Source organism: Homo sapiens, chromosome 20 (assembly GCF_000001405.40).
Source record: "Homo sapiens chromosome 20, GRCh38.p14 Primary Assembly".
Taxonomy (NCBI): Eukaryota; Metazoa; Chordata; class Mammalia; order Primates; family Hominidae; genus Homo; species Homo sapiens.
Window position 1 is genome coordinate 16220726 of NC_000020.11, and position 9819 is coordinate 16230544.

The 9819-nt window shown below is 46.0% G+C and overlaps 1 long non-coding RNA gene and 1 pseudogene across 1 annotated transcript in view, besides 1 other annotated feature; both read right to left on the reverse strand.

The window, feature by feature from the left end:
- The window catches only part of LOC124904874 (uncharacterized), a 44620-nt gene extending 42812 nt beyond the window's left edge, over positions 1 to 1808 (reverse strand). Inside the window, exon 1 of the long non-coding RNA XR_007067537.1 lies at positions 1633 to 1808. This is a non-coding gene — a long non-coding RNA (uncharacterized LOC124904874). The remainder of the gene's footprint in view (positions 1 to 1632) is intronic.
- On the reverse strand, positions 3025 to 3810 carry PPIAP17 (peptidylprolyl isomerase A pseudogene 17; annotated as a pseudogene).
- Positions 6650 to 7527: an enhancer, noted in NCBI's record as "H3K27ac hESC enhancer chr20:16208020-16208897 (GRCh37/hg19 assembly coordinates)". NCBI's record gives its function as "activates a minimal SCP1, AML or CMV promoter by ChIP-STARR-seq in naive H9 embryonic stem cells {active_cell/tissue: H9 hESC(naive)}" and the evidence as "EXISTENCE:reporter gene assay evidence [ECO:0000049][PMID:30033119]".

Genomic DNA, 9819 nt, shown 5'->3' on the forward strand with positions numbered 1-9819 from the left:
GTGCTGGGATTACTGGCATGAGCCACCACGCCCAGCCTATTCCTTTACTTTCTTAAAAAAAATTGCTTTCACTTTACTTTGTTGGCTCACTCTTGAATTCCTTCTTGCCTGAAGCCAAAAACCCACGTGGCCTCCTGAGCTGAGCTCCAATTTGGGGGTTCTCCATGTGATAAGAGTGTCAGAGGCATGGTTTATCTGTCAATTCTGATGTAAGTGACAATTTGTAAGTTCTCTGAAATGCTATTGTCAATAATCTACTTGAAATGGATGAAGAAACTTATACAAGTCAGAATAGGCTAGGTTATGCTGCAGTGACAAACAGTCCCCAGATCTCAATGGTTTGAGTAGCAAATTTAAGATTCATGTTCATTGGTGGCAGATGAAGGAGTTTACTCAATGTCGTTTACGCAGAGACCCAGGCTAGTTACAGCAGGAGGAGGGAGAGGGAAAATGAGGAATCATCATTCACTCTTAATCCCGGAAGCTACAAATGTTATTTTGCTCACATTGTATTAGCCCACAAGTCACACAGTTGGTCTAAATTCAACAGAGAACTGGAAATAGAAAGTTAAGTATTACATTATGAACAAGTGTAAAATTTAACAGAACAGAAATAAAGATGTCTTCAGTTTTAAATCCTAAGCTCATCATCTAAATATTCCACACGAAGACAAAAGCAAAGAGAAAAATAAAATATTGTGACCCTAGACACATGTTGAGAATTTGAATTATATGATGTTTAGAAGTAAGATATTTGGGGAACAAAAACATATATTCACATCTTACTTTATCGACGAAATTCAAGCAGTTTATGTGACTTGCCTAAGATCACACAGGTAGTTAGCAGTATAGCAGTCTTTGAAATAGGAACTCTGCAAAGGCTAAATTTTAAAATCACGACAATAAAGGAAAGGTTTGCATGAGAAGCATTTTATGTTTACAATCATTAATTACTTCTTTATTCTTTTTGTAAGGGGCTAATTGCCACTTACATCCAATGGGAGTAAAATCAAATCACTACTCAGCAACCCCCATGCTCTTCTGTCAACATGGACAATCTCAACAGATAAGCAGCTGCCTGTTACTTTCTCTGTGAGCTTATCCTTCAAGCAAAGCCTCAGGGTAAAGCCTAAACATATGTTTAGGCATGACATTTGAAGTTAAGTACAAGGGTTGGGAAATATTAAAGAGGCCTAAGAGAGCCTGATTCACCCCAAATAGAGTTCTCCAATAATCATGTGCTCTTAATATTCCACAGAGGAAATAAAAGAGATGGGAAATTAATTGCAGCACAAAATACCTTGACCATAAACTCTGGCATAATTAATTTCCCTTCTGAGCTTGATTAACAATCAAAAATGGAATAAGTCACCATGCATGCTTTTCTCATAAGACCTATTCTGTTGGAATAAAAAACTTGTCTCCAAGAATCACAGAGAAACATAAGGAAAAACAAAAAATAATAAAGCAAATCCATGAGAAGAAATGACGCCTCTGTGATGAAGCCTGAATAGGCTTGACTGAGGATATTTTAATTGTGTTTTGACAATGAGATTGAACATTGAGGACTGTGGCTGAAAAATAGCCCATAAGAAATCAGCCATGTTTTTAATTAAGACACTTATGGCTCACCTGGTTGTGATTCTCCTATAAGTTGTAGAGGAACAGGAGGTAAATTAGTCAATTACGGCATCTTGGAAGTTTTCTTCTCCAAACATCATTCCACTGTAGGACCTTCTCTTGACAATCTGCTTGATGTTCACTTTACTGCAGGTCCAGAGATTGGGTAGCTCACAGCAACTCGAGCTCTGAAAATTAGCAGGTTTTTCTTTAAATGAAGCTGAAATTTGCCTCACCAAAATTTTTCTACCATTTATTCTTGTCTGTGTCCCTAAGGTGAGGCAGAAAAAGCCTGTCCCATCTGCCACTACTTTTTCAAATATTTGAAGGTAGTTTTTATGTTTCCATTTGAATTTTCATAACACATAAAGTGAGCTACATACGAAAAATCTTATGGATACCTCAAGTGTGTCAAGGTACTTAAGTAGCCAGACCATGGTTCTGTACTCTACTCATCTACAGAGAGTGTGGCCCCTGAGAACATACATGCTGTCACATGTGGGAAGTTTACCCTCCACCTGGCTGGGTGTATTTCCTGGAAAAGACATTCTGGAAAGAGAGAAAGCAAGTTGGGGAACTGAGACCCTAAGGGCATAGCCATTGGTAGCAGAACTTTAATCTCCTCGAGGTGCAAGTGGAAGTTAGCCTGTCATGACAATGATCAGGACGCTTTTGGCCACGCTGCTGTTGTGGTTTGTGCTGCTGCTCTTTTGATTGTGTTAGAGGGGATGAGTCATCCCTCTCATGCCCTGTGGTCACCTGGTTGTGATGATCCTGGTGGGATCCTGGTGGCTCCTGGTGCTCCTTGGGGTTGAGAAGGATAACTCTTCCCCCTAAGCATATTGTTTCTTGTTTAGCTTTATTTATTTATTTATTTATTTATTTATTTATTTATTTTTTGAAATGGAGTCTCGCTCTGTCTCCCAGGCTGGAGTGCAGTGGTGCGATCTCTGCTCACTGCAAGCTCCACCTCCTGGGTTCACGCAATTCTCCTGCCTGAGCCTCCCCAGCAGCTGGGACTACAGGCGCATGCTGCCACACCCGGCTAATTTTTTTGTATTTTTAGTAGAGATGGGATTTCACCATGTTAGCCAGGATGGTCTCGATCTCCTGACCTCGTGATCCACCCGCCTCAGCCTCCCAAAGTGCTGGGATTACAGGCGTGAGCCGCCATGCCCGGCCTCTTGTTTAGCTTTTATTTAATAATCATGAAATTAAATGTGAAGTCTGGCTAGACTTGGAAGGAGGTAAGGCAGGTATGAAGCCTGAAGAACTATAGCAAATGAGACCTCAAAGATTATGGGATATGAGAACAGACTGGGAGTGGGGCTGCTCTCCTTAGCTGAAGAAGACATTGTTTGGTGATAAAAATAACATAAAATCAAATTATGAGAGTTACTGGTGCAGCAGTGGTAATCTTCCTGCTGTCTTGCCAATCCTAGAGCAAAAACATTCCATAGATTCCACATTATTCATACCAATGACCATAGGCTTGCCATCCAGCCTATGGTCCAGCCAATCAGTATGAATAGTGTGGACTAAAAACCAGGAACCATTTGTGTTGGGCCCATCATTTGTCATGAATAAGATCCCAAAACTCATATGATTCAGCATGAAGTTCTCATCAGGAAATTTCTTCCCATGGATGAACTTGCCACCAGAGCCATGATGGCAGGTGAATTCCCCACCCTGGCATATAAACTGTACAATAATTCTGTGAAAGCATAAATCTTATAACTGGCTAGGCGCAGTGGCCTACACCTGTAATCTCAGCACTTTGGGAGGCTGAGGCGGGTGAATCACGAGGTCAAGAGATTGAGACCAGCCTGGCCAACATGGTGAAACCTTGTCTCTACTAAAAATACAAAAGTTAGTTGGGCTTGTTGGCGCATGCCTGTAGTCCCAGCTACTGGGGAGGCTGAGGCAGGAGAATCGCTTGAACCCAGGAGGTGGAGGTTGCAGTGAGCCAAGACTGCGCCACTACACTCCACCCTGGTGACAAGAGTGAGACGCTATCTCAAAAAAAAAAAAAAAAAAAAAAATCTCATAACCAAACCCTTTTCTTCCATTGCAAAAAGCACTGACATTTTCTGCTATCCTTTGGAACCTGGACTGAAACAGCTTGAAAGAGATACAGTGTGGGTTCTCCAACAATGGGGATGTGTTGCATTATACAAGGGGATTGACCATGGCTAGGAGCAGGGGCAGAGTGGACTGCAGTTTCTGCCTGTTCTCCAGTGCCTTCAGTATACATATGATATATATGTATGTGTGTATTCATGTCACTATTGCTTAGAATCAGCTTCAAGGCAGCTCCACAGTTCAAATCTTCAATTTGATAGTTGTCTTAGTTGTGTGACTCTGGGACAGTTTTCTGAAGTATAAAATGAATAGAGTAATTCCTATCTTATAAAATCATTACGAGTAATAAATAAGAGAGTGAATGTAGTAGTCATACAATCAATGCAAGTTTACTCTCCCCACTTCAGCCCTAAATGAGCACGTGGCTAATTGTCAGATATAGACGATTAAGTCTGTCAGAATCACATGAGGAGTTTTTGTTTGTTTGTTTTTGGTTTTTAATGGAGCATTGCAAGATTCTCAGAGGAGATTCCGTAGTTGGGCAGGGATGGAGCTGAGATATTTAATGATCTTCCCCATGGAATATTTCTCAGACAGCTCAGCTATTTTTCCAGTCAAATTGATGATATACTTTCCTTTGCTTCTGCTGAAAATATTCAAGCATTTTCTGAACAATGGTTATATTCTGACTAATTTGCTGTAGCAGTTCCAGTGTCTATTTAAGGAAACAATAAATAAAAAACAGTATCATAAAACTATTTATAATAACAACAATAAATTCAATAGCATATAATTTATTGTTGAAGTTTCCTAGCAGGACTGAATGCAAAGCTGTAAGAGTATGTACAGAAATAACTTGGAGTTTGGAGTACATACACAGAAGTTTATTAAAAGGAGACCAAACTAATGTACAATTGAGCATGGGAACCAAATTGTAAACAGATCCACAATTTCTTACTTTACTTACCAGATTCTGCTTATATTATGTAAATAACCCCCTAAAGAAGACACAGCCATAAGTGAGGCAGGGTATAATGAACTAACTTTGGTGTTGCTTGGTAGCCATTGACCGTGAGGAATATATACAATAGAGTGCCTGTTCCAAGCATATTTCCTGTAAATTGCCTGTTTTCTTCTTGAAAGTCTCATTTCTTCTTATACCTGTTTTCTTCTTGAAAGTCTCGTTAGTATCTGCATAACTTGGTGACCAGTAAGTGGATTAGCGGTGCCTTTCAAAGTGGATTACTGTTCCTTATACATTTAATTAAAGTGGACCTCATTCTATCATCCTTAAGAGCAAAATTATGTAGAGAGAAATTGCGTATGTGCAGACATTGACTACAAATATGTCTCCCCCTTGGGTCCTTAATGTGATCTAGTTGGCTGCAGAGATCAAAATTTCTGGAATACCATACAAATTCTGTGCTTTTTCTCCTGAGAATAGTGGTTTCAGCTCCTCCATGAGTGGGAAGAGGTGTGCAGGGTCATGTCCCTGAAATAATATGGATCTCACACTTTCTCATAATGTTCCACTTGTAAGTCATATTGTTAAATGGAAAAAAAAATTAATATCCTTTTCAAGTTGATAAACTTGAAAAGGGAGAAGTCGATCAGGATATTTCTCTGCCTTATAGATATACTCAGGTCATTAAGCCCATTATCATCAGAAAATACCATCTCAGGACTTGTTAGTGCCAAAAACTTCAAAAGAAATTATTTTATACATGGGCTAACTTAATGCTCTGGTTGCCAGCTGGGTTTCCGTTCTACGTAGCTGATCTTACAATAGAAAACATTTTAGCCCTGAGCCATTTTATGCCCTGAAATGCACTTACTGCCTGACTTTGTTCGTAAAGACAATAGCAAATGACCATAAAATTGCTACCCCAGTGGTCTGCAACTGTGGCTACCCATTAGAATCACCTGGAAAACAATGTAAAAATCGCATGCCTGGGCCTCACTCAGAAATTCTAATTTGACTAGTCTGGAATGGGGCCCAGGAATAGTAAATTTTTTTTTTTTTTCAAAGCACCATTGATAATTCTACAGTCAAGGTAGAGAGCTAAGGTAGAGCGCCACTGTTCTCTCCAATTCTTTTTTTTTTTTTTTTTTTTTTAATTTATTTTTTTATTGATAATTCTTGGGTGTTTCTCACAGAGGGGGATTTGGCAGGGTCATGGGACAATAGTGGAGGGAAGGTCAGCAGATAAACAAGTGAACAAAGGTCTCTGGTTTTCCTAGGCAGAGGACCCTGCGGCCTTCCGCAGTGTTTGTGTCCCTGATTACTTGAGATTAGGGATTGGTGATGACTCTTAACGAGCATGCTGCCTTCAAGCATCTGTTTAACAAAGCACATCTTGCACCGCCCTTAATCCATTTAACCCTGAGTGGACACAGCACATGTTTCAGAGAGCACAGGGTTGGGGGTAAGGTCACAGATCAACAGGATCCCAAGGCAGAGGAATTTTTCTTAGTGCAGAACAAAATGAAAAGTCTCCCATGTCTACTTCTTTCTACACAGACACGGCAACCATCCGATTTCTCAATCTTTTCCCCACCTTTCCCGCCTTTCTATTCCACAAAGCCACCATTGTCATCCTGGCCCATTCTCAATGAGCTGTTGGGCACACCTCCCAGAAGGGGTGGTGGCCGGGCAGAGGGGCTCCTCACTTCCCAGTAGGGGCGGCCGGGCAGAGGCGCCCCTCACCTCCCGGACGGGGCGGCTGGCCGGGCAGGGGGGCCGACCCCCCCCCCACCTCCCTCCCGGACGGGGCGGCTGACCGGGCGGGGGGCCGACCCCCCCACCTCCCTCCCGGACGGGGCGGCTGGCCGGGCAGAGGGGCTCCTCACTTCCCAGTAGGGGCGGCCGGGCAGAGGTGCCCCTCACCTCCCAGACGGGGCGGCTGGCCGGGCGGAGGGCTGACCCCCCCACCTCCCTCCCGGACGGGGCGGCTGGCCGGGCAGAGGGGCTCCTCACTTCCCAGTAGGGGCGGCTGGGCAGAGGAGCCCCTCACCTCCCAGACGGGGCGTCTGGCCGGGCGGAGGGCTGACACCCCACCTCCCTCCCGGACGGGGCGGCTGGCCAGGCGGGGGGCTGACCCCCCTACCTCCCTACCGGACGGGGTGGCTGGCCGGGTGGGGGGGCTGACCCCCCCATCTCCCTCCCGGACGGGGTGGCTGGCCGGGCTGAGGGGCTCCTCACTTCCCAGTAGGGGCGGCCGGGCAGAGGCGCCCCTCACCTCCCGAACGGGGCGGCTGGCCGGGCGGGGGGCTGACCCCCCCACCTCCCTCCCGGATGGCACGGCTGGCCAGGCGGGGGGCTGACCCCCCCACCTCCCTCCCGGATGGCACGGCTGGCCGGGCGGGGGGGCTTACCCCCCACCTCCCTCCCGGATGGGGCGGCTGGCCGGGCGGGGGGCTGACCCCCCCCACCTCCCTCCCCGACGGGGTGGCTGCCGGGCGGAGACGCTCCTCACTTCCCAGATGGGGTGGCTGCCGGGCGGAGAGGCTCCTCACTTCTCAGACGGGGCAGCTGCCGGGCGGAGGGGCTCCTCACTTCTCAGACGGGGTGGTTGCCAGGCAGAGGGTCTCCTCACTTCTCAGACGGGGCGGCCGGGCAGAGACGCTCCTCACCTCCCAGACGGGGTCTCGGCCGGGCAGAGGCGCTCCTCACATCCCAGATGGGGCGGCGGGGCAGAGGCGCTCCCCACATCTCAGACGATGGGCGGCCGGGCAGAGACGCTCCTCACTTCCTAGATGTGATGGCGGCTGGGAAGAGGCGCTCCTCACTTCCTAGATGGGATGGCGGCCGGGCGGAGACGCTCCTCACTTTCCAGACTGGGCAGCCAGGCAGAGGGGCTCCTCACATCCCAGACGATGGGCGGCCAGGCAGAGACACTCTTCACTTCCCAGACGGGGTGGCAGCCGGGCAGAGGCTGCAATCTCGGCACTTTGGGAGGCCAAGGCAGGCGGCTGCTCCTTGCCCTCGGGCCCCGCGGGGCCCGTCCGCTCCTCCAGCCGCTGCCTCCCGGGCGGTGCTCTCCAATTCTTTTTCTCTCTGGGGTTTGCAAAAGTGAGACTTTGCACGTTTCAATAAGATAAAATCTTTCTTTCTTGACTTTTTGGGTTAATTACCCTAAAGAACATTTTTACCTAGACTAAGGAAAACATCTACCTGTTGCATCTAACTTTGCCTTTATCCCTTGGCTTTCCAAATGGCAATGGGCAAGGTAGGCAAAAAGGGAGCCGAGGGGCAGAGCACTTGGGAGGAGAGTCCAGGATTTCCTCATTCCTGCTGCAGGTAAGTCAAGATCAATGACAGGAGAAGGGAGAGAATAAGGCGGGATGCTACTGTTCTAATAGGCATCAGAGGAGACTGGTTTTGGGGCGGGGGGGTTAGCTGGGAGGGGAGAATCCAACAATAAAGAATGACCAAGTGGAAAATGGCTGCAGGGTTAAAGACAGCCTGCAGACATTGGTGACCACGCCCACTGGGTGGACCACGTGACCCATTTCCCCTCCCCAACCCCACCCCCAGAGCTGTTAATGACTTGTTTCTAACTTCTGCTTCTTTAATTGTAACAGAGTTAGCAAAGCCCCCAGCTTCCTAGGCTTGTGCCCTAACAGGACACTTTGCATAAGTCTATCATGTGCTTTTATCTCACACATACACAAAATCTTTACCTTAAAGATTGGATTGGCCGGGCGCGGTAGCTCACGCCTGTAATCCCAGCACTTTGGGAGGCCGAGGCGGGTGGATCACGAGGTCAGGAGATCGAGATCATCCTGGCTAACACAGTGAAACCGCGTCTCTACTAAAAATACAAAAAATTAGCCAGGCATCATGGCGGGCGCCTGTAGTCCCAGCTACACGGGAGGCTGAGGCAGGAGAATGGCGTGAACCCGAGAGGCGGAGCTTGCAGTGAGCCGAGATCGCGCCACTGCACTCCAGCCTGGGAGACAGAGCGAGACTCCGTCTCAAAAAAAAAAAGATTGGATTGGGTTTTACAGAAACTCCCTCAGTGGTTTCAAAAATGATGTACTAACAATGGCTTCTCTGTGAGGCACACCTGAGAAAGCACAAAGATAATGCAAATGAGACTCATCTCGAGGCATTGGTGATGCTGAGCAACAAATTTAGTTCTGATTCAAGGTTTACCAGAAATAGCAAAACGCTGCCAAGGGGTGTTCCCTCAGAGAGGTCAAGACGATCAACACTGCCTCCAAATGTTGGTTTTCTCCTGCACCAGGATTGTTCTGGTTCAGATTTCCCATGTGAGCTTTAAGAACTGCATGTTGTACATGACTTGAACAGAGGAGCCAACTCAGCTATGGAGCATCTCCTTTTTCTACCTATGCCTTTTTCTACCTTACCTAGGATGGCACCCGATATAACACAAAGACAATGCAAATGAGATTCAACATGAATCACTGGTCATACCTAGGACCAAGTTTACTTTTGATTCAAACTTGATGAGCAATAGCAAGACACAGCAATTACATAGCCATGTGACATTTTCCAGTGAGCTGTGTCTCATATATCCATAGATTTCAGGTTTATTTACAATAAACAACTGACACAGACTGGGTATATATCCTGCTAAAAGTAGTTCATAGTTGAGAACTCTTCTTTATCTTTCTGCTAGTAAACACCATTTGTGGTTTGCAGGAAGTCTGCTTACTCATGAGTTTGCAAGGGAATTTTCCTGGTTCATTTCTTTCTTTCCCAGGTGTCCCAAGTAAAGGCCAAAATTAGGTGTCAGGCCTGCTGCTAACCTTTACCCTTCTGTCATCTGACAAATTTTTAAAAACACACCCATACCCATTGACGTCTTTACTTCACGAGAAACAACTCTAGCGGTCAGGGCAAGATTCTTCTTCTCTGAGTATGGGAAATTCAAAACTCAGAAAAATTAAATGAGTACTCTAGGATCTTAAAGCAAGTTGGGGATAAAGCAGCTTGAGAAATTCAGCCCTTGCTTCATAATATTCTGTGTTATACTTTTCCTTATGGGTCATGATTCTTTCCCAAGAACAAGATGTAAGTCACCCTTGAAACTCATATATGTATACATATGAATAAACCATTTCAGAAGCACTGTTTTAAATAATCATCCC